Source organism: Homo sapiens, chromosome 13 (assembly GCF_000001405.40).
Source record: "Homo sapiens chromosome 13, GRCh38.p14 Primary Assembly".
NCBI classification, from domain to species: domain Eukaryota; kingdom Metazoa; phylum Chordata; class Mammalia; order Primates; family Hominidae; genus Homo; species Homo sapiens.
The window spans coordinates 43,208,705-43,234,595 of NC_000013.11; the positions used below are offsets into that span (position 1 = coordinate 43,208,705).

Consider the following 25,891-nt stretch of genomic DNA (forward strand, 5'->3'; position numbering starts at 1 on the left):
TATGTTTTGGAGATAAACCACCTATTATTAAGTCCAATAAATAAACACAGTAGCCATTTCCTGAAAAGGGCTACAACCCCCCCCAACACACAAAACCCCAAGAACCAACCTCAAAGTAAAATATCCCCGACCCTTACCAAGAAAAAACAACTTGTTGTGAATCATAATTTGTTGCATGGACATTTGTTTAGTCTCATTTTCTATACAATTACTACCAACATCTTCTATTTTTTTCATTTCATTTTTACCCTCAATGAAAATGAACTGTTTATTGAGTTAAAAATAAGCTTCCCTACACTTTCAAATGTTGTTTTTGATGTGGTATTTAAATATTTTCCAACACTGATCAATGACTTTTTCTTACTGTAATAGGTTAAAAATACCTAAGCCAGCAAGAAGAGTTCTTATACAATGGAATATTCTTCTTTTTTTTTTTAACCTTTTTTTTTTTTTTTTGAGGCAGGGTGTCACTCTGTCACCCAGGTTGGGGTGCAGTGGCGTAATCTCGGCTCACTGCAACCTCCACCTCCTGGGTTCAAGCGATTTTCCTGCCTCACCCTCCCGAGTAGCTGGGATTACAGAAATGTGCCACCACACCTGGCTAATTTTTGCATTTTAGTAGACTATTAAGTATTTAGTAGAGATGGGGTTTCGTCATGTTGGCCAGGCTGGTCTCGAACTCCTGACCTCAAGTGATCCGCCCACCTTAGCCTCCCAAAATTCTGGATTACAGATGTGAGCCACCGTGCCTGGCCTATTATTCAGCCTTAAAAAGAAATGAAATTCTGATACATGCTACAGTATGGATGAACCTTAAAGGTGTTATGCTGAGTGAAAGAAACCAGACACAGAAGGGCAAATGCTGTTAAGATTCCTCTTACATGAGATACCTAGAATAGGTGCATTCATGGAGATGCAGGGAATAGAAGTTACCAGAGGTTAGAAGGGTAAGAGGATGAGGAGTTATTGTATAGTGAGTACAGAATTTTGTTGGGGATAATGTAAAAGTTTTGGGTATAAATAGTGATGATTGGTTACATAATATTGTGAATGCATTTAATGTCACAGAATTGTACACTTATGACTGGCTAAATTGTTAAGTATTTTACCACAATAAAAAAGAAAAATTAAAAAATAAGGGTTCTGCCAAGGTATTACAATGAAGAGACACAAAGTTCTAGCCTCTAATGCTGGACCTAATACCTGAATAGATTCTGATTCAACAACTTCAGAAAGTTCCTGTGGGCGTTCTTCTTTCATTAACGTTGATAAATATTTATTTAAAAGTAATGTTATGTCATGTCAGACTCTGAGGGACTAGAGGGATGAGTAAGGGAGGTCTACTGCCTACAGGAGTGGAAAGACAGCCACATTAAAAAATGATTAAAATCCAGTAAATGGGCTGCAATAGAAATGTAATGAATAGTAGGGGAAGCCCAGGAGAAGGGCTCCTGAGGGAATCAGGGCCTCGTAGAACAGTTGATAATTGATCTGGGTTTGAAGTTTGAATAGGAATTGGGTTATTTTTTATTTTCTTATTTCAATAATATGCAGTACATTCTCACTCACATTTCCCACCTTGGAATCTTGGATCTAAGATATTTGCAGTCTTTTCAAATATTTTGTAATATTTTCCCCTTGGGTAAGTATAGGCAGATTGGTCCCTGGAGGTAGAAAAACATCTTGATCATTCTCTGTCCTACTTTCTAAATATTTGTAAGCAAAACCACTTTGAGAAATAATTCAAAGTAAATGAGATGTGTTCAGTCCATCAAAGAGCTTGTAATATAATAGGGCAAGGACAGCTGGGTGGCAAGTGCCTTCAGAAAGTGTGGGATGGCTGTGCAGAGGCAGGAGGAGCGACTTCTGCTGGGGCACGAAGGCTTATTTCACATTTAAGGTTGGGTAGAACTGTGATAACTAGATGTGAAGAAGATTGTTTCATTCAAATAGATGAACAAAAGAAGAAAAGCAAGAAAAAAGATGAATCCTTTTCAGGGAAACAGTGAAAAAGCAAGTTAGAGAGGCCCTTTGGGGCCAGATCACAGGGATCTCCAAACCTTCAATATTCTGCTTATTCTAAGGAGAGAAAGGCGTGAAGAGTCTTCACCCCTCTACCAATGTGAAAGGATGGTGGAGAATAAAGGAGAATAAAAAGGGATCCAAAGGCACTGGATGGCATTGGGCTCACAGGTGGATGGAATGGGTCGAACTATTAATAGAAGTATGACCAGTGAAAAGGAGAATATGTTTTGGAGCCAGTTAGCTTTAGGTTCAAATCCTGATTCAAAAGTTACTAACTGCAAAGTTGGACAAATTACTTAAAACTTCTGAGCCTCGTTATCCTTGTGTGACAAATGGGGATGATAATATTATCTTCATATAGAGTTATCAGGAGGATTAAAGAGGATGGGGTGACAGATATACGTAGTCTCCAGACCACTCTCATAGGCACAGATGTTAGTTCCTTCCCCAGGTGATCTCCAAAGTCCCATCTAAACTTGAGAGTCTGTGAAATAATTTAGAGGATTTAAAAAAATCCAAAGATAAATGATTCACATAATTGAAGTTAAAATATATAACCAACATATTTCTAGACAAGTAACAGAATTCATTTCAAGTATAAATAAAAAATTTACAGCCAAAACAGATTTTTCTAGTGCAGCAGCTTATCTCCAGCAATGACTCTAATGTTTTTGGAAGCTGAATTAACCATTTCACTCCCCCAAGTTGCCCCGTAGGGCTCATATCCACGTGTTTGGAAATGATATCTTCTTGTCAGATCTAATATGAGGTCCCTCAGCTTTGTGTGAGCACAGAGCTCAGAGTTGGGGGTTTACCCTGTGCAGGATGTCTTTCTGCTAATGTGACTGCCAGTAATACTTGAAAGTATCAATGCATGTTTGAGGATATCCACCATGCTTTCCATTAGAAATAGCACAGGCTGTGGTACCTTCCCCTGTATCCTTACTAGACTTCATGACTTTATAGAACTAGCCACTTTACTGAATTCTTTTTTCCTTGTTGTTTTTCACGTGAACTGCTTAGGTTTTCTATTTTACAATACTAGCATCATCTGTAAATGATGTCTTCTCCTTTCTGACTGTTGTGTCTTTATTTGTGTCTCTTGATTTGGATATAAATCTGTCAGGATGATGGTGGTAGCAGGCATGGACTGATGGTAAGGGAAGGTGTGTAGGGTTTAATATGATATGGACATATAGTTTGAATGCCATAGCACCTGTCATATCTTTCTTGTTACCAGAATCACATCATATAGAAATTTTTGGGAAAATGCCTTTTTCTTTTTTCTTTTCTTTCTTTCTTTTTTTTTTTTTTTTAAGACGGAGTCTTGGCTCTGTCACCCAGGCTGGAGTGCAGTGGCGCAATCTCAGTTCACTGCAACCTCCACCTCCTGGATTCAAGTGATTCTCCTGCCCTAGTAGCTGGGACTACAGGTGCCTGCCACCACGCCCAGCTACTTTTTTTTTTTTTTTGTATTTTTAATAGAGATGGGGTTTCACCATGCTGGCCAGGCTGGTCTCGAACTCCTGACCTCAAGTGATCTGCCCGCCTCGACCTCCCAAAGTGCTGGGATTACAGGCATGAGCCACCGCGCTGGGCCGAAAATGTCTTTTTCACACTGAACTCTGAGCACATTAAGGAGAGGGTCTTTTCTTACTTACCTTTATATTCATAGTGTTAGCCCTGAGCCTGAACAAAACACTTGTGTAGATATTTATGGGAGGTATGAGTAAATATCTTAATTTATTAGAGATCAGTAAAGGTACTTATCAATAAAGGTATCAATAAAGGACAAAAAGTCCAATAAGAAATTATGAATATCTTTTCATAATATCAGAGAACATTAACTGTTTAGCTGTCTTCCTAAAAAATGTTTCAATTACAATTAAGGATGCTTGTCTTTTTTGTGATTCTTATGTAGGATAGCAGGAAGGGGACAAAATTTTAAGTCATATCCCATTTGTTATTAAAATAAAGAGGGGAAGCCCAAATTCTATCTAAATTGTTGGTCCAAGTGTGGATCCCTTAATTTCCTTTCTAATGTGTTTTCCAGTAAACATACAGATACATAAATGCAAGAGTTAATAAGATTAATGGGCTACTTTGTATCTGCCCAGGAGGACACAAAACAAGGTAAAATTTATTATTTGTGGATGCTATGTCATACTATTTTTAAAAATCTACTCTAACACTGTATATTAATGCTGTATAATCTCCTTTCTTGGTAATTTCCACTCCACAATTTTTATATATTCCTATTTGAAATAATGTTTTATCTCTTAATGTCACTCATTTATTTTATCATTTTTAAACAATAGGATATGAGATGGGACTGAATAATGAGAAAAAGATTTCTTAAGGGAGAAATAAAATATATCAAAGAATAATTTGTAAAACCAATATGGTAGAAGTCATATTTATTGAAAAAAATTAATATCTTTGCTATAAAATTTGTAACAGGAATATTTACTGAATGTTTATTTTGATGCATAAACCTGAATGTTACATACCAAGTACAAGACAATAACACTAGTTTTTCCTTTATTTACACTTTATGAAAACTGTTATGCAGTCCATGTTAAAAGAACTTATGATGGAGAATTGTTACATTAGAAAAATAATATTCTTGATAAAGCATTCTCAATGTGTCCAATCATATTTTCTGCCTCTTCAATAAGGCAAAAGTCCCTGGAACAGCATATAACTTAATTTACAAAATACAATAACTGTTTAGACACATATTCAAGTTTTCTTTTGGTATGCTTTTCCCTCACTGTAAAACTTTTTCTTTTTTCTTTTTTTCTTTTTCTTTTTCTTTTTTTTTTTTTTTTTTTTTTTACTAAAACAGAAAGACTTTCAGGAAAATGTCATTTAATGATTTCAGCTATACATTACATATACAACTCTGTAGCCTAGCAACAATCATTGCTACACCATCATTAACTTTAAATATTTTGCTTGGTGAGCTATTCTCAAATGTAGCACATTTTAAGATTTTGCCATCATTATGACTGTGGAATCATTGTTTGGTTTTCATAGGAAACAGATCTGTCACAGTATGAAGCTTTGTTTATTTTAAGAAACTGGTACACAATTACATTTCCACTTACAAGAGAACGCCACAGATATAACTAAAGGCAGGCTTCGATGGCTCCACAAAGGTTGCGTGCTGGACCAACCCCACACCTCCTGCTTCCCCGTCGCACCGCCCTGGCCAGGTTCACATGGTTTCATTTCCAGAGATGCTTTGCTCTTCGCAGTTAGGTAGTTTTAATTCCTTCAAAGGCACACAGCTTCCATCTTTTTTCCAGCGTGGCTCCCACACCCGTGAATTCCTGTTTGAACATGCGTGGCAGCCTCATCAAAAGCATTTCTATTTCATTTGCAGATATCTGTTAGAAAGGAAGGAAAGTCACTTTGGGGAAAGGAACTCATCTTAAAGGAGGAATGGATTGGGGAAGGATGAGCTTTCCCAGTGATATGAACAGCATTTAGTTTTCTACTGGGCTGTCAGGGGGATGTCCTTATAGAAGGAACATTCAGAAGTACTGAATGTGATTATCCCACCTCCCGAGCAGCTGGCGGGGTGGGGCGTGGGTTGGCTGGGCGGAAAGTGCCAAGTTCACCCTTCATATGGATGGCTACCTTACTGGCAGCACCATTCCTGAACAGCCCTCCCCTGATATAAAAGGAGATGGGGAGGGAATTTAAGAGGGCTCCCAGCAAATCCATCACCACTCCTGGAAAGCTACTAGTGGCTTCATCCTCATCTATGAAGGACAGCAATTTTCTTTAATGCTGCCAGGAGCAGAAGACATTCGGGTGGATTTCTTGCCACCCAAATTTCTTTCTCTTCCTTAATTTTCACATAGACCAGAGACCATAAAGCTTTTGGAATGGAATCTAAACTCCAAAACCTACAACAATACAAGTCTTGATATCTAGTCATAAAATTCAGGTATATTTTTTAATGCAACTTTTTTCTTCTCCATATTTTTATTTGATGAATTTTTACACCAATAATTCATTTTAAAGAACAAATCAGCCATAATCCCTCTGCTCTAGCACAGTGATTGCTTTTGTTGTCCTGTGTTAGCATGCCAATCCATGTGTATGCATGTGGATTTTATACAGCAGGGCGGCCAATTTGGGGTCTGATATTCTGTTTGAATATCCCCAAAATTTGGGGTCTGATACTCTGTTTGAATCCTGTATCTTCATTCTCACAAGTTAAATGACCCTTACAGAGATAATTAGTCTCTTTAAGCCTCAGCAAATGGAAATAACATTTAATAAGGATAGCATGAAAATTACTGGCTTACCACAGATATGGGCACATAGAAATGTTCATTGAATCAGAGCTATTACACTTTTTCATGGTGTAATCACTGTAGAGATATCATTTTAGAGTCTACACTTTCCATTTAACAATATTAGGATTCATTTAAAAGAGACACCAAATAGACCAAGAAGTCAAATCAACTGTTTATTTAATATTCTCATGGAAAAGACTTCATATGACACATTCAATATTCCTGGGCCTATAATACAAAACTTTAGTTAAATAGAGGCAGTTCTGAAAATTGAAATACATTGTATTCTAAAATTTTTGGGAATTGTTTTGAAATCTGAATGCATTTTCTGATACACACCATATTAGATGGATGGTTAAATTCCCAGGTCAACCGACAAAAGCCTATGAGACAGATTATGTGAAGGTTCATAATAACTTTGAGAAGTAAGTTTTCTTTCAGTCACCACCAGTGTTCTCATTTCATTCTCACAGCACTCTGGTGAGATTCGTGAGCAGATATTAAGATGCATCTCCATTTTATAGTTCAGAAAACGGTGTGAGCTACAGAGGGTTAAGTGTTTTATCAAAGACACAACTTGGGAAAGAACCCAAGGGTTCTTTCATGGGTTGGGGCCTGGGCCTTGATTGGTGTGCCTTAAGCACTTCCCATGATTGTCAACAGCCAGGGGTGAACAACCAGGGGTGCTGGGAGGTCTTTCTCAGTAGCGGTCACCTGGAGGCACTTGTTAAAAAAATCAGATCCCCCAGCCAGCCTCTTCTCTGGAGATCCGGATTCAGCTGGTCTTGGGTGTAGCCCACATAATCTATTTTTAACAACCATCCCAGATCATTCTTATAGTCAGGCATATTTGGGTTAAGAATGGGGACTTAGGCCGGGCGTTGTAGCTCATGCCTGTAATCCCAGCATTTGGGGAGGCCGAGGTGGGTGGATCATGAGGTCAGGAGATCGAGGCCATCTTGGCTAACATGGTAAAACCCTGTCTCTACTAAAAATACAAAAAATTAGCCGGGTGTGGTGGCGCGTGCCTGTAATCCCAGCTACTCAGGAGGCCAAGAGGCAGAAGAATCGCTTGAACCTGGGAGGCGGAGGTTGCAGTAAGCCGAGATGGCACCACCGCACTCCATCCTGGGGGACAGAGAGAGACTCCGTCTCAAAAAAAAATGGGGACTTAAGCCAGACAAGCTTGGATTTTACTCTGGCTAGGCCTCAAGCTGTGTGACTTTGGGAAGATTACTTAACATTTGTAATTCTCAGTTTCTTCAGGTGTGTAATAGAAGTCATATCTCTCAGGGTATTGTAAGGATTATATGTAAAATGTAACACAGTGCCTGGCACAAGTTCTCTCTCCTTATGTAGACATGTATATGTGTGTGTGTATGGAATATTGATAGAAAATGACACTATTATCTAACCTTTTGTAGTACGGAGTGGTATGTGGTCAAAACTAGTTTTTCATAGGTCCAGGAGGCAGCTTTTTTTAAGCCTCATGAGACCAAGTTATCTTCTCAAAGAGTTCCCTTCTTTCTTTTGGAGGAGGACAGCACAGATCATCTATGGTGGGCTCTAGTCTCCAGTCAAATTCAAGTGCCACCCCTGGCATGTCCTTCCCCAGATCAAGGAGAGGCCATAGCGGAACACACAGGCCGAGGTGCCTGCCAGCCCACCAGCACCTTGTTTACAGTGTAACCGCCACCTCCCTTGGAAATGTAGGGAAGAAGGTTTGTGCCATTCATTAGGGAGGGGATAAAAAGCTAAGTTTTTGAGGGTAAAATAAATATCTGATTTAAATATAACGTGTAGGAGGCCAGCTGGGGTCAGAAGGGGCAGTGCCACCCAGCAGCCCTGCAGCTGGCTGTAAAAAGTGTGACAACTTACAATCACCAGGAAACTTTTCCTTGCCAAACTCTTCTGAAAACACTATTTAATTCTCACCACACTCTCATAAGATAGGGAATAATTTACCAATAAGAAAACTGAGGCCCTGAGAGACTCAGTAAATCCCACAGGGTAACACAGGCAGTAAGTGTGGACCAGACCTCCTGGCTGTGGTGCCTTGTTCTTAACCACCCCTGCCCACCTCCACCAGGGAGAGGACCATGGAGTAAGGACAGGAAATAATCCTCTTGGTCACTGCCTCTCTGGCCCTGGGTGGGTGTGGATGCCATGGCAGGCATCTGTGTACAGGAGGGCAGGGCTCCTCTGTGATGAATACTATTAGAGTGATAGCAACATCAACAGCAAAAAACTGAAAATTCCCAACTCACCTGGCTCACACACGTTCATATTGCTGATGCTCGGGCACCCCCACATTAACCATCCATCAAAACGGTAAGCAAATCATGGGAAGTCTTGGCTAGCATGTACTGAAATGTGGCAACATCTTGTTTTCCATGGTGTCTTTTGACCTGAGCCTAGACTTTAACCACAAAGGAAGCAGGACAAGGCTTGCAGCGGGACAGAGGTAGCTACCATTTACCGAGTCTTCACTGTGGGGCAGGGAAGAGTAAATTCTTCACCAGCATTATCTCATCAGAAAGCTCATTAAACAAGCAAGTGCCCCCCTCACTTGCTGGAGTAAAGAAAAGGAGACACAAAAGATTTGGATCACAGTGATAGAACAATCAGTAACCTCTTCCAGTTTAGTAGTTAAGTAACCAGTCACTTAACTTCTTTGGGCCTGTCTTCTCATTTCCAAGACAAGGGAATTGGAAAGAAACACAGGGAATGCCCTGAGGACTTGGTTTGTGTGCTGGCCTCTCCATATCCTAGCTCTAGCCTTAGGACAAGCCATTCAAAATTTATCTGTCAATTAGGTTGTGGCAAAGATCTTAAAATGAGAGGATGTGATAGGTCTTTTGCGCACCTTAAAGCACAAAACAAATGACGGTCCCCACTTTAGTAGCACTTATTGTGTGCCAGGTACTGTTCTGGAATGCTTTTCATCTACTAAGTCATTTAATATCAAGGATAACCCCCCAAAAACCACTTTACAGATGGTGGAACTTAGGCACAGAGATGTTAAATAAGCTGTCCAAGGTCAAACAGCTAAGAAGTGATGAAACTGGGATTTGAAATCCTCGTAATTACTTAATACATACTTCAGATTTTGAGAAAGCCAGAAATTAGTGTAATGGGAATTAATCTCAAATGTATTAGCTGTAGTTTCTGTTGGTAGTGTAAGATATAACAGCTGGGTTCTGCCACAAAGATGCAAATAATACAGAGTTGTGTCATAATTATGGAACAGACCACTTCAAATAAAAATCTATCTAAAATATCCATTTAATAAGGCTCTCAGCAGCTGGGCATGGTGGCTCACACTTATAATCCCAGCACTTTGGGAGGCTAAGGTGAGAGGATCACTTGAGCCCAGGAGTTTGAGACCAGCCTGGGCAACATAGAGAGACCCAATCTCTACAAAACATACAAAAATTAGCCGATATGGTGGCATGTCCCTGTGGTCCCAGCTACTCAGGAGACTGAGGCAAGAGGATTCCTTGAGCACAGGGGTTGGAGCCTGCAGTGAGCTGTGATTGCTCCACTGCACTCCAGCTTGGGTGACAGAGTGAGACCCTGACACAAGAAAAAAAGGGATCTCAGCTAATTCTAGAAGAATTCCTTAAAGTTGTTTAAAGATATTTATATCTCATGACAGAAGAAAGATCAGGGAGAAAGCTGTATCAGGTAAGTTAGTTTTATGATTTTCAAACTTTTCCCCTACCCTGACAAAATAACCTTTATGATATTTTATCTTTTGGGATTTTTAAGACAAATTCAAGAGAAAATTCAATTTGTCCTTTGTTTTCTCCCTATGGCCAAAGAATTTTTACTTTATAAATACTTCCACTTACTTCAGTTCTGTTCTCTTCCTAATAATTTGTCAGCTATTATCATCTTGCCATCACAATATCCTTTGCCTTCCCACCAGTACATTCTTTGTCTAGAGAATTGAGACTCTGGAGTCATTACTTAAACCAAGCACCCAGACCTCACTGGCTGAGCTCTGAGTGAAGTTTACCCCTTTCCTCATCTCCTGCACGATTTTCTTCCCTGAATCACTTCTGAGACCAGGGATTCTCTCTAAGCTCCTACTTCTGTTCACACATGGAGCCCTGGGTTCCTGGGAAGAGCTGTTGCTTGCCCAGCAGGTAAGTGAAGGGGTAGAACTTGGAGCAAGGATTATGAATCCAGCCCGGCTTTCAGAGTGACGCATTCCCTCACTCCCAAGCATATTATGAGGAGATGATTGCAATACACGTGGTTAAGGGAGCACTGTGTAGCACTGTGATATAGATTAGAGATAGATGCCATGACTATGAAATCTTTTCCCCATACACCATGTATTTGGTGCTCTAGCAAGTGGAGAGGATAGTCATAACCCTGAAGTTTTGATTACCCTCTTACCCAGGTGGCTTTTGTTCCAAGAAATTTGTGGCCTATATATTTTCAATCTTTGATATTGTCAGTGGATTCTTCTACCTGTTTTGTTTGAAACTTTCTTAAATTTATTCTTTTAGGAAGGATTTATTTGCTACAAATACAAAAAAGAAAGAAAGCAAACATCAGAAGGAAACAGGCTGTGTGTAACTAAGGAGCTTGTGTGCTGTTGATACCGCAGAGGTCATTTATAAAATCTGCTTGATTTATTTTTTAATTTGCTCACTCTAGGCCAAGCCTACTGCCTCCTTGCCCGGCCTCTAATCACATGTACAAATGGACACAAGCAGATGCAAATCAATTTGTTCTCATCATGGTTGGCTCCATACCCCGTATCATCAGGCAAGGGAAGCCTGGTGAAGAGGGGCTCCTGTTTGGGCTACTGAAAAGACGCCGGCAGAGGCCGGAGCGTCAGGGAAGCCAGTTGAAAACCAGACTTCCTTCCATGGGCAAAACTGACTTCTAGCCTTTAAATGCACATTTAAATCTTGTTCATTCTTCACATCCTGGGCAGGGCACAGTGTTAGCACACACAGACACCTCACAACAAATGTTCACAGAGAGAAATACAAAATGTAGATGGGGCAAAGGGAGGGGAGGAAGGAAGGGAGAAAGAAGGAAAAGAGGAAAGAAGACAAGAAGTCAGGAATTCGAAGGAGTGAAGCAAGAAACTGGTAGAGGAAGGGAAGGAGGCAGAAAAAATGTGATGAAAGAAGGTAAACAGGAGAGAATTAAAAGGAGAAAAGAATATGGAAGGAAAATGAGGGCAGGAAGGAGAGAAGAAAGGGTGGGTAGAAAGAGGAGAAAGGAAAGAAATGTGGCAATGTTGGCTAAAGCATCCCAGAGGGAAGCCACCAGAAGAAGCATGGACTCGAGGGTACCTTGCTGTTAATCATGACTCACAGATTTCACCCTTCTCTAACTCCTAGTTCAGAGAGTATCTTCCCTACCCAATTTAGCACTTCATTAGTTCATGTCTGAGTCTCAAATCATTTCATAACTAGGCTACAAGCTTGTTGAGAATAGGGTTCTATCTTAGGTTTCTTTTGTGCCTTGGTCATCTCCTGTTCTTCTCTGGTCCCTAAGACAGTGCTGGGTACATGAAAAGCAGTGAATTATCCCAGCATTCATTAGGTCCCTGGTAACCTTACCAACTTCTCTCACTGTGGTGCACAGCCTTTTTTTTGTTCTTTATGTAGTCAAGTGGGGAGTATTGTTATCTCTGCTGTCATATGCTTTCCAGAAGTGCTGTAATATCTAAAAAACCCATTCATTATAGTCTGTCTAAAGGATCACTCATTGATATTACTGTGACAGGCTGCTCTTAAGGAGAACCCCAGAATATGCATACTATTAAGGATCATTCAGGTGGGCAATCTCATAAACACTACTGAGAGCATTTCCCCACCCTCATCACCTGGTTATAGTCTGGGAAAGAATGCTATCCAATTAATTAAACAGGATCTGAATCTCCTTTCCATAGCCAAGACATTTAAATTTTGTGTTTGCAGAGGTATGCTATTAGTACAGAAGTGCGAATGATTCTCCCCTCTGTGGGAAATGTAACACATGCCCATGACCTCTCAAGCTGGTCACAGTGGTGTCGTGCCAAAATAGCAGGTCCTTCTATATCCTCCAGCCTCTGTGGCCACATTACGCTGAGTCTGGTTTTCAGAACCAAATCTTCCACACCATGGGCCTTGGGAAGAGGCTGCAGGTGTGTAGAGGGGGCAACCAGACACGCTTGGAAAACTGAGCCTTCATCTCCTAAAGGATATATAAACAGGGAAGAGCAGACGAACCCTCCTCTTGACTGTAAGAAGTATTCATCTGCTAATGCTCAAGTCAAATGTTTCTTCTGGGCTGCTTCGGAGAGACAAGAGGTTGGGCTTGATGGGCCCTGGGGCTGACATGGGAGATTCTATGTACTGATAGAAACCATTTTCATCATAGTGCTGCCTATTTTAAAGAGTTTGCCTGCTGTGCTCTGGGCATGATTTTTGACTCAGCAAAGCTTCAGAAGCCATGGCTGCCCCCAACCCGGACCCTGTTTTCCTCTGAATGAATCTTCCTTTTTCAAGTGTTTCTGATACAAGAGAACCGGGTGAATGAGAGTGGGTAATTTAGAAAAGGCCAAGAAGAGAAAAATATGCAAATATGCAAATATCAACAGCAGGAATAATATTTAACTGGAAAATAGCTTATTATTGGGCTACATGGTTTTAGGAAGCCATGTGCAATGTACATGCCCGGCATAATTTAAATTAATTCCTTCCATTCCTAGTCATTCTTACACCCATATGTAGCCTTTGGGGAAATCCTGACCACAACAGTGACATTACAGGACTGGGTGGAGCCTGCTTTCCCTGTTCTCATCAGTACAGGGTGGGCACTGGATTTTGCTCTCTGGATTAAAAAGTCTAAATATCCTCTCAGCCTCACTGGAATAGAAAGCATGTGGTCTGATCCCTGGTGCCCAGCAGTTTTAGAGTACTTTTTCAATATACTTTCTACCCCAGGCATGAGAAGGAACCTGACAGCTCTGTGGGCGTTTCATTCAGAAGATGGAGAGCTATCTGGGAGTAGGCAGGGGACACCTCGTGTGTTTCCTCTGTGAGGGAAATACTTTCTTCATCACTCTAAAATAAAAGTACCAGTCTGCGATGAGATACAATTCCTTTGACTGAATCCCATCCAGAAAGGCCCATCATCTAATGGCCAGGGACAAGGCATGTGAATTCTCTCTCCTCAGAGACTGGTAAGGGAACGTCACAAATCTTACCTGAGCCCTGAGGATAAGAATAGAACAAGAGCTTCTACCCGCCACCCCCTCCCCGCCAGCCAAAACAAATCAATTCATTACTTATCAATCCCTGCCCATTCCCAGGAGATGATTTTACACACACACACACACACACACACGCAGGCACACACACTTCACTGGTGATCATCATAGATTCTCAGCCTGCGATGATGGAGTGGAGGAAACAAAGTGTCCTGAAATTCTTTGATAAACGACAAGTGGATTGTTGGCCATTTTAGCTCCTACTAAAACAACAGCTGCTTCTCAACAAAGGCTTCTCACTTGGGACTTGCAGAAAGGGAGAACAGAAATGTCAACAGTACAAGGGAAGGATGGTAGCAACAATAGGAATCATTTCTTGAGGGGTTATTCTTTGCCAAACACATTGGTGCAAGCAGTGTTTTGTTTAATCCTCCAGGCAAAGGTGGTGGTGATATTAAGGAACAATAATACCAGTAAAGGGGAAACAACAGCAGAGAAATCCTTCAAATCTATATGACAACAAAGGAACATTGTGCAGCAAGTCCTTCTTATTTCATCTGAGTTTAACATGAATGCTTTCTCTTTCTTACCTGTGCATGTGAGGGGAAACCACAATGAAAAAAATAGATGATTCTGAACCTCTAGAATTTTAAAATTCTCTAACTCCTTTCACCCTGTTTTGTTCTACCCTGTCATGAAAGGCATGAAATCTGTATGACTGAAAAGATTCCTCTCAAAGGGGAAGTGTTAGATCCATTTAAGAGGTTAAACAGTTTTGGGATCATGTATTGGGAAGATTATTTGAATCAAAATAAGAACACATGATAGTCATTTGATGCATGCTAGCCATTGAAAATTTAGCATGATTTAGCTGTGTCTGTTCAGGGACACAGCACTGCAGTCTGCTGGTCTGGTCGTACCAATCCCATGCGTTTTGCTGTGCTCTATGGAGGACCTTCTTACTTATTTCCATTTTCCTTCATGACCAGAAATTTGACAGGCAACTCGCTGGCTTCTCTAGCTTCTCTGTTTTGCTTCTGTGTCCACCCCGCTCCTGGGCTTCCCTAGTGTTGGTTAATGATGTTGTTTTATTTTGTCAGGGCCCCTTCCATTGTTCACATGAATTTGACACATAAATCACATTCTTTTTGTCTCTTCTCTATGGGTACACAAATACTGCGGTGGGGTAGGAGTACAGCTAATTTGTGGATGGGAAAAACCGAGCTTCAGGGAGGTGAGGAATGATGTCTGGCTCTGGATGTGAGCCTGGAGGGGCACAGCTGAGAAGAATTTTGCAGCCACTTTTTTCTACTTAGAGAACAACGCTGGAAAACAGCCATTAATACAGCTTTCTTGAGTCATATCAGATCTTTATATTATTTGGGATGATTTTTCCTCAATTGTGTGAAGTCCAGAACATGGAATCCTATAAGAATATGGTCTGAGGATAATGCCCTATTAGCCACACTCACCTGATTTCACCCTTATTTTGGGAACTTTCAGGTGAACCTATATTTTTAAATCTCTCATAAGCTTTCCAAATTAACTTGGCATCTGCTAAAAGTCATTGTCATTTTAGATAACTGCTCTTCTTTTTACAAAGACAAAAGCAAGCAAAAAGAGGAGAACAAGCTGCCAAAAACTGAGGTCCTTGCAAAAGAGAAGGGCTGATCAACCCCCATAGGCTGCTACAGCCCTAGTTCAGTTCATGCAGAGTCCACCTGCAGGCAGCAATCAACATGCTAAATTTGAGCAACGAAAGTTCACTCGAGCAAAATAATTTACCTTGGAGTCCAGCTGCTGCATGTATGACCAAAGATATTCTATGTTGGCTCCAAAAGGATGGACGTGAAGAAACGTTGATATGATACCTGAATTAAAAAGGCAAACATTGGAAATTATTCAAAGGCATATGAGAGTCTCTGGTTAAATAATGCTGTCTAATCCCAGTGACTATTTTGTCAGGCTGAGTTATGGTCTTGCCATTTCTAGCAGCACTCAACAAGCATTCAATAATAGCACATTCTGAAGGCAGTAAGAGTAACATGGCAAACAGAACACTTTATCTCCTGGAATGATAGTAGTTAGCAAAGCTAGACTCTGAGATAATATACAGCTGAATAAAGATATTTCAAAACAAAGACTCCTGGAAGCATTTCAACTACCAATTTTATGCTTGATTTACCAATATAAAATTATAGTTATTGGAAGGATAAAATTATCTTTTCTTTCCCTCAGTGGACTTTGCAGTATGAAAATGGCTCATACAACTGTGTCAGAAATCACACTGCCTCAGATTTTCCTGATAATTACAATTGCTAGATATGAAAAGTATTTAATCTATATTTCCCCCAACTGCCATTGAAGGAAGCCCAAATTCTTCCTGAAACATTTGCTGTTCTCTCTGGTTGTCGCTCTTGTTTAAAAGGAGCCAGCTCATTCTCCCCTTCTTGCTGCTGTAATTTACAAGATCATTTTAAAAGGTCTGGGAATGGATGGTTTGGCTGCAGTTTGATTATAAATTATAAGGCTCTTCCATCGTGCAAATCAGCTGTCAACATTGTACTGACAAATGAAAAGCTGGACGTTGAAGTCAGGAATGAAGTAAAAAGCATTACCTTCCTCTTCTCCCTGCTCCTGGATCCAAAATCAAAATAGTGAACATGAGGAAGTCAACTCCAAAAACTGTAGACTGCTTTTTGTTAAGAAGTTGTGCACTTGTTATTCACGATAGCAAAAACATGGAATCAGCTCAGGTGCCCATCAGTGGTGGATTGCATAAAGAAAACGTGGTATGAACCATGGAATACTATGTAGCCATAAAAAAGAAGGAAATGATGCCCTTTGCAGCAACATTGATGCACCTGGAGGCCATTATCCTAAGTGAACTAATGCAGAAATAAAACCAAATATTGCATGTTCTTATAAGTGGGAGCTTAACAGTGGGTACTCATGGACATAAGAAGGAGAACAGTAGACACTGGGGACTGCTAGAGGCGGGAGAGAGGGATGAGGGAAAGGGCTGAGAATCTCCCTATTAGGGATTATGCCCATTACCAGGGGGATGGGTTCAGTCATACCCCAAACCTCAGAGTCATGCAATAGGCCTCTGTAACAATCCTGCACGTGTACCCCTGGATTCTAAAATAAACGTTGAAAAAGAAACAAAAGAAAAGTTGTCCTCAGACTGATAGTTTTAGCTTTCTGTTAAAAAAGTTTCAAGATGAATTAAATCTGAGGGTAAGCCTTCATGTTCTGTTTTTTGTGAGCCTTCATGCTTGGGAGCCAGGGAAGACCCTCACCTGTATGAAATGCCATCTGGGTGGGCACAGGTGCACACAGCATTCTTGTACTAGGTCATCCTATAGGTGACCTTGGATTGATCTGCCATAGGGTTTCATGGCTCCCTGATGCTATGGGATGAGTGTCAAGTTTTTAAAGAAAAGTTCCCAGTTCATCCTCAGGCTGAGAACAGAAAACCAAAGGGACTCTCCAAGACCTATCCTCAGAATGTTGCTTTCCCAGGGCTTCTAGAGGATGACAGTGAGATGGGGAGGTAGAAACAATTCCCACATTTCCCTGTAAAGGTAGAATCTCAGTTTTTAAAGACTGACCTGTTCTTCCTGAGATACAAAGAACTACCACTTCATTCTGAGGTTATATTCTTCCTTTTTTCTTGTCAAAATGTCCTTTTTTGAAATAATGGCAATGGTAGAAGGCAATGATGATACTTTAAAAATATCTTTAAGTGGAAAAATAGCCACTTTTAATGTACTCAGGGAGCATTGTGTTGTCCCCTCCCCTTATTTATTTACTTATATTTTAATTTTAGAGACCTGACAGCTACTTCCCTGTAACTGAAATTCTCAATTCTGGTGAAGTGGCATTCTAAGTAATTCTATTACTAATAAGAGTTAAAATATAAAAGCTCAGGAGTGATTTCTTTAAAAAAATTAGAATATAGTAGAACTATTTAAAAATGATTATTTTCATTTGCATTTCCTTTTTTGTTTTACAAAGTTTTAAATTGATATATAATATTTGTACATATTTTTTGGGTACCTGGCATATTTTGATACCTGTATACAATGTGTAATGATAAGAATCAGGGTAATTTGCATGGCCATCACCTCAGACGTTTATCATTTCTTTGTGTTGAGAACATCCCAAATCTTTTCTTCTAGCTATTCTGAAGTATACAGTAAATTACTGTTAACTATAATTTCCCTACTGTACTATCAAATACTGGAACTTAGTCCTTCTATTTGTTGAATGAGAGAGTAAGGGCTGAATCACAGTTCGTGTAGAGGGAATCCCCTGTTTCACGATGGTGAGTGGGGCTTTCACTGACCATCCCAGGTACTATGGCCACTGCTTTCCACAGAGAGCCTCCCACAAGTGATGGGCAGGAGAAGGACAGGGGAGGGAGAAGGAAGAGTCAGCTTTGGCTTTGTGAGCAGGTGAGGGGGTGCTCCTAGTCGGAAGCTTTTTTTCTCCTCCTCCCCTGCAGGGTTCTCCCAGGGAGGTGAGGGCTGCTGCAAGGTGGGGAGCAGCATTCCTCGGGTGGACATCTGCTTACGCAGCAGGGCTGAGACAGGGAGTGGCAGCAGCACTGCAGACTTTGGGGTGACAAGGGTGTATAAGTCTCCCATGGAGAAAGAGGGCATAAGACTTGAGCAGTCTTAAGTAAACTACCCCAGGCAAATAAATAACAATATTTTTCATATTTAATATTCCCCCTGGCCAGAGAGCCTTCAACATCTCCTGCATAACCTACAGCCTTTTGTAAATGTCCATAGGTGTATGGTTATCAACATAAATGTCTTTAATAGGATGAATAGAACAAGTCAGAGGAGGATGGGGTGGGTTGGGGGAGAGGTTGATAACCCTTAGCCTAGGAGACGAAGTGTTGACATGGGTCATTTAGGGACACCAGAAATGGGAGGACCTAGAGTGCCTCTGTGAAGTTGGCACCCTCTGTGAACATGGATTTGCTCCTCCACTGTCTACTACCTTTCAACCCTAATCCTGGGTCTGCACCCCAAGGAGCTGTGCTCTTAGTCTTTGTGTGTTCTGGTTCCATATCCAGAACATAGTACACATTCATAAGAGGTATATGTTGAACGTATTTATTTGCCAGAACTGGAAATCTCCAGTATACTTGTTTAAAAATTCTATTAGTCTATTATTGATAAATGGGAATAAATAAGAACCTTAAACATTTCTACAAGTAGTAACAGATCTTTCAAAAACCAGGTAACTTTGAGATATTATTCACTGAAAATTCTTACTCTTAACCCGTCCTGTCATGGATTTAGAAGGATGGAGTAACTTGGATGTTTTGAGCAAGGAAAATTTTCATTGAAACTATTTTGCTCATAACTAAGGGGAAAATCAGATTCTAAAATCAGATTAGAAGTCCTGACGTGGACTTGAGTGTTCTTTTAGGAGGGTATTCAGAACCATCTCTGTGGTAGCTGATATTAAGAAGCCATTAGCTTTTCCTTATAAGAGTTCAGCAATTGCCACTAGATATATGTAGGGCCAAGGCAGGCAGTCACAAATAGGCTTCCCAAGCTTTTCCTGTGGATGACAACCCAATTATCCAGTGTTGCTAGAGACACAGCCGAAAGGAAAGCATGAGTCATCATCCTCCCCGGTACCTTGCCTCTCCTCAGCCCACCTCCCACTCCTGCATCTGTCCATCCCTGTAGCACCACAGAAGCATCAGTCATGCCACTTGAGAAAATGTTTCTAGGCCCTGTGATTTTGGATCAGGTTCATTTGAGGGAATCTTTCTAAATAAACAAGTAAAGCCTCTTTGCAGCTTTTTTTTTTTTTTTTTTTTTTTTTTAAAGGAACTGGGACATTCCCTGGGGATGGAAAAAGGATGGCTGTAACTCAAAAGTTAATGAAAAATGCCACAAACCTGGAATATGGAGACTATTTTATGGTCCTCTGGAATAGACCTAAAGGCTTGGTAAAATGAACACTAGGAATGGAGGGTGGTGGATTTAGCTGTTACTGAACTGGTGGATCTCCAAGGGGATGGCTCAACAATTGGACTTGCTTGTTTCCATGGAGATGTAGAAGGCCTCCATATTGGAGAATGGGTTTCCAAAAGTGGAAAAAAAATTTTAAGTGCCTAATTTAAAAAAATTTTAAAAGAACAAAGGAGGTTCAGTACCATTGGGCTTTTTGCACATCTCAGAATCTTAAAAACTACTTTAGAAAGAGTAACTAGCTCTAGAGGCCTGTGCCAAACCTCGTTAGGAAGGTCCATTTAAATTGGCTACCCAAAAGCACTCTGAGCTTCTCCCATCAAAACCATCTAGTTTATTTACATTATTGGGTCTCACTAAGACTAAGGATGCAGTATTTAAATTAACCAAATAGTGCCAGATTTGTACTGCTTCATCACTTATTTTAATACTTGAAACACTTAGCAGCCAGGAGGTGGCAAGGTGCTAGAGGCACAGCATTGTATAAGATAGGCAAGGGGCTGGTCCTGTGGAACTTTTATTCCAGGTGAGCAACACAGATAATAAACACAAAGATGAAAAATAAAAATTTTTAGATAGTGCTTAGCACAATGAAGAAAACACATCAGGGAAGAGGACAGAAGAGACAGCAACCTGCAGTTTGCTGGAACGCTACCTTACACAAAGCGATTGATGTGGTTTGGCTATGTCCCCCCAACAAATCTCATTGAATTATAGCTCCCATAATTCCCACATGTTGTGGGAGGGACCCAGTGGGAGATAACTGAATCATAGGGGCAGTTTCCCCATACTGTTCTCATGCTAGTGAATAAGTCTCGTGAGATCTGATGGTTTTATAAGGGGAAACTTCTTTCACTTGGTTCTTCTCTCTTGTTTGCTGCCATGTAAGACATGCCTTTTGCCTTCCACCTTCTGCCATGATTGTGAGGCCTCCCCAGCCCTGTGGAACTGTAAGTCCATTAAACCTCTTTTTCTTTATAAAACACCCAGTTTTGGATATGTCTTTATCAGCAGCATGGGAATGGACTAATACAGCGATTACGTGAAGCCCTCTCCCTGAGAAAGCAGACCTTCTCAAGTGTGAGATGAGAAGGAGTCAGCCATGGAAAGCCCGGGGGAGACCATTCCAGGTACAGGCCACATACAGTGCAAAGGCCCTGAGGTGGAAGTGAGCTGGCAGAACACACTGGGCTGGAGAGTGGCACATGTGTTTAGAGGTAGGTGGGGGCCAGATCACGCAGGACCTTGTGTGCCAGGGGAAAGAGTTTGGATTAGATTTAAATTCTAAATGTGGCAGGAAACCAAAAGAGTGGTTCTAAGCAGGTGCTTGACATGATCTGAATTATGTTTTAAAAACTTCCCTCAAGCTGCTGTATGGAGGGTAGAGCAGAGGGGGAACTGGGAGGCCAGTTGGAAGTGTTTGCATGAGACTGGAGTGGTGAGTCATGATCTGGACTGCAAAGGGAGAAGCGGACTCCAAAGGGAGAGCCAGGGGGCTGGTGTGAGCAGTGAGGCTGGGGAAGAATGAAAGATGAGTAAACAGTTTTTCACTTGAGCAACTGGGTGGGACTATTTTCTCAGATGAGAATATTGGGGAAGGAGCACATTAGGGCAGGAAAAAGGGGAATCGGGAGTTCTGTTTTGTCCTCATTAAATTTGAGATGTGCATTAGCATCTAAGTGAAGAATATTAAATGGCAGCTGGAGATGGTATACATTTGCAATGGCAACAAAAAGGGATTTGAAGCCAAAGTATTCATTGAGATTACCTAGGTAGAGAAGAGGCCTCAAGACTGAAGGCTGGAGAAGCCCAAAATTTAGAGGTAAGCTGAGGAAAACTCATCAGAGGACTCTGAGAGGGTTTAATCAATAAGAAAGTGTGGCATCATGATGGCGGAGAGAAGTATTTCCAGATGTGAGTAGTCAACCACGTAAAGTAGCTGCCAGGTAGAGGGAGTTGAGAAATTGGTGACATAAAATTCTCTGGTGATGTGGAAAAGAATGGTTTTGGTGTGAGGATGCAAGTCAGACTGGAGGAGGCTGGAGAGAGAGGGGAGGAGGGAATGGTGACTGTGAGCATAGTGCGTTGGAGGAATCCTGCTTTGGACAGGGGCAGGAAATGGACTGTTGCTGGAAAGGGGTCATGGTGTCAAGACAGATTTTCCTTCTCGTTTGTTGCAAAGGTACAAGATAGTAGAGTTCATGTTTATATATTGATGCACATGATGCTCCACTTACATACAAGATCACTAAGGGGTAATGCAGCTTTCATAATAGTCCTCATACATTACAGAGAATTGAGTTGAAAAGGACCATCTAATCAAACTTCCTAATTTTATGCAGTATGAGGGCTTACACACTTACCACAGTGGTTTGGATAAGTGATTTGCCTTAGATTACCCGGTGGATGAAATGCCTCAATCCACAAATATTTAGGACCACTCCCCCTCCCCCACCGCTCAGGGCTGCTTAGAGATCATTAGGTATTATGGTTTCTCCTTTGCATCCTTATACAAAAGATGGGAGTGGGATGGGTTAGCCCTGTTATAGTTTAATTATATTGGTTACCCGATGAGAATAAACTATCACTTTGTGCATTCAGTTTGGTCAGCACATTATTCTCTTTGAGTGGAATGAGAAATGGAATATTGCCAGAATATACTCCCCACTACCCCCAGGCTGCTTGGAGTTTTCATTCCAAACTCTCTGTGTCAGGTTCTAAAGTTCTGGCTGAGATTTGCTTTCTCTACACCTACACTGGTTGATAGTCTCCTAGGAAGCTTCAAAAGACCCTGGGGCCCATCAGCTCACTGGGATAGAGGAGCACCTTGGGGCTTTCCAGAGACCTTGGCTCTGCAGATGAACAGCTGTGTCTCTAGACACAGTCACATCTTGCTGGGAATTACCAGAGGCCTGACCATAAACCAGCCTGAAATAGTCTTGTTTCATGTTGACACCCATATAAATGGTCCACGGATGTTGGAGAATCAGCAGGAAAAAAAGCCATGCAAAATCTGGGTCTCCTAGTAAGCCCTGAGGGGACAGTTGTCTGTGGGCAGCTGCAGAGTGATGAAGCGTATATGGGAAGTGGAGAGAAACTGTAGGAAACCGATCAAACACTTGTGGTTTGGGCTGATGCTTCTCAGTGCCTTGGGATTCCAAAAAGCTTTAATTTTCCAAAAAAGTTTATTCCGCTTACTTGGTGAGTACAAAACCTAATCTTGTATGGTTGGTTAGTTAGTTTTGTGTTGTAATATTTGTCTGTCTTATTTTTTCGATTAAACCCCTCAGACTGTATTTGAACCTCTTAGTAGTAAATTGTTCCTGGTACCTGAAATGCCCTTAACAACTTCTTTATCCATCCAGTGAAAACCTCTTCATCCTTTAGGACTAGCTCAGCTGTCCTTTCTTCTGACAAGGCATCTGTAGCATAAGTAGCTCCTTCTCTGTGTCTCTGATTTTACTACGAACCACAGTTCATTGTAATTAACTGCATTCTTTCTCATTATCTATGAACTTCTTGAGGGGAGATCATCTTTCCACCATCAGTTAATGCATGGGATAGCATAAATCAGGCCAGCGTTTCTCAAAACATAGTACCAGATATGCCTGCTTTAGCATCCTCTCAGATATTAGTATTGCAATGAACAGGATCACTTTCTTTTTTTTCTTTTTTGACAGGGTCTCACTCTATCACCCAGGCAGTTGTGCAGTGGTGCTGCTCACAGCTCACTGCAGCCTGATGCTCGTGGGCTCAAGAGATCCTTCCACCTCAGCCCCCCAAGTAGTTGGGACTACAGGTGCATGCCACCATGCCCAGCTAACTTTTTTTTTTTTTTTTTTTTGTAGAGATGGGAGTCTCACTATATTGCCTAGGCTGGTCTTGAACTCCTGAGCTCAAGTGATCCTCCTGCCTTGGCCTCCCAAGGTGCTAGGATTATAGGCGTGAGCCACCACACCTGTGTGTGGGGCTAAAGATTCTGCCTTATAAATAGGCTGCCTAGATAATTCTTTTCCACAATGAAGACGGATTATTCTTATCGTAGGCTCTTGATAAATGTTTGTTGATTTATTGATATGGACATTTGTGCCTTGGAAACAAGATTTAGGTCAATGACTCATTCTTTATGGTCAGTAGTTTTCAGAGAGGAACATACTCCCAAGATTACTTTTCTCAGGTACAGCCTAAATATAGCCTCAACTTTATTCACTGAAATCACCAAAAATTATTGCTTAACCTTCTTTAAAAATATTTTTCCATATTCTACTCAGCTGTTTCTTTATACCCACATTAGGAGGAGCCTTCTGCTTCTGGTATAGTCTGGTTTTGTGCACGTGTGAGATGGTGACTGTGATGGAAATGATGTGTATGTCCTGATCTGCAGAGGACTCAGGATATGTAAGAAAGTTTGCCCAATCATTGTCAACCTGAGGACAGTTCTCAGGGGACCAGGGAGGTTTTAGAGAAAAGCTGCTTTGTTACAGTTAAAAGTTGTGGAGAAGTTTTTGACTACATCTGGATAGTATTTACAATGACTAGCATCAACAGGGCGTCAATCAGAGCTGCTGGGATTGAAATCTATTGTGTTGGAATTATTATAAAAAGCAAGAGAATATAGAGTGATACGGACCCAGAGAGTTATACTCTCAGCTCTCTGCAGAACTATTAGCTTGTCAATAAAAAAAATTTGATCCATTTTTCCTTTATAACAATATCCAGCCAAACACAGCTCCCAAACTTTGGCCCCAAATCAAAAGTAATGACTCATTCTATCCCAAACAACTTCAGTGTATGCCAATCCAACATGCAGGCCATATGTGAAATAAACTAGTTCTGGCATAGACATTGAGCAATGTCAAGCTGACCTTATGTGTGGTTACTATAGCATTATGAAACAAAATGCTACCCTGCAATGCCCCCATAAAAACAGAATTCTCTAAGGTCCAATTATATGTCAACCTGTCTCCACAAAAATTGATTACAAAATGAATAACCCAGAAATCACAAAAATAAAGTATTTTCCAGGGGCCTGTCTTCTTTAGTTGAATTGGAAGACCCATTAATTGTCAAGAAGAAAGTCCATCAGAATGGTCGAACTCTAATAATACTCAGGATCCAGATCTGCAAAATTCCAAATTATGTCAATGAAATCCCACGGATCCTCTCTAATAAATATCAACTTTATGCCTTGAAATAAAGACTCTAGTTTTATACAATAGTCATAAGAATGTCTGGGCAGAATACACCCTTTTGCCCAGATAAATCAGTGTCACAAATAATTATATGTAACTAGAATTGCTCATTGTTTAGGAAGTTCTAGCCTCAGTTTTATTCTTTCTGTAGATGGAATCCATTTGAAGAGCTTTTTTCTCACTCCCTTTCTCTTCCAGGGAATGCTTTCTGCCAGTGTGCGTTTCTTATATAACATTTATGTGCCCCAAGAGGGCACTGATCATCTGACTATATTGGCATACAGCATACACTATAAGCATGCAGATATGATGAAGATTTTGCCAATTAATGTTTCCAAGTTGTGGGAGATTTTCTGCTGTGTCCTTGGCCTTCTAGGCTGGCCTAGAGCATGACTTTTGTGTCCTCTCTACTGACTTAATTATTCCAAGGGAAGATTTCAGGGGGAATTGCAAAGAGTATTTATGACTGCTCCAGATGTACCAGAAGGCCAGAGGGCTCCTAGAATCATTCAGTGCATGAGAATTCTTCAGAAAAGTGTAGCCCCAGCACCAGGAAATCCTTTTTCTCTATTCTGATCCAGAGCAGTTTTGTCCCTACCACAGTCTGTATCTAGATTCCAGAAGCTTCAGGGGAGCTCTTTATGGACGCAAGATTCAGGTATCTACAAAGTATGAATGACCAAACTCAATGAGTAGATAGGATCATTTAGTGGCAGGCAGAAACTGCAGCTTTTGGCAGGATCCATTTTGCTGGTCTTGGAAACTCTTTCCCATTGTGGCATTCTTTTGGAGGATTATCCTCTTTTGGAGGATTATACAAAAGAGTAGAAGTATATAGATGTTTTGGAAGTGGGTTTGGCAAGGAAATCACATCTGTTGCCAAACTGTCATTAAGAATAATAAAATAAAATATTGAGAAAGGTAGCAAGGTAATGGATAACTGAAGGGAAAGTTAAACTCCTAAGTTTATTTTAATCACTTAAGTCTCTGGCCTCCCTTCTACCTAAATGTTCTCATATATTGATTCAAAATAAGTGTCACCCCCTGTTTCTCTTTTGCTCTACTCCTAACTTCAAATGCTAATATTAGTAAACTAGTTCAAAAGACCAACAGTGAGGGGAAAAGTCTTGGAAA

General features: G+C 40.8%; 1 protein-coding gene across 27 annotated transcripts in view; it reads right to left on the minus strand.

Annotated features, from left to right (window-relative positions):
- Nucleotides 4,426-25,891, minus strand: part of ENOX1 (ecto-NOX disulfide-thiol exchanger 1) — a 573,843-nt gene continuing 552,377 nt past the window's right edge. For all 27 annotated transcript variants that reach the window (NM_001347965.2, NM_001347963.2, NM_001347971.2 and 24 more), the window contains 2 exons: nucleotides 15,349-15,434; nucleotides 4,426-5,417 (listed from right to left, as the gene is read on the minus strand). In NM_001347965.2, coding sequence (NP_001334894.1) covers nucleotides 5,286-5,417; nucleotides 15,349-15,434 — 218 coding nt within the window. In that variant the 3' untranslated portion in view covers nucleotides 4,426-5,285. The remainder of the gene's footprint in view (nucleotides 5,418-15,348; nucleotides 15,435-25,891) is intronic.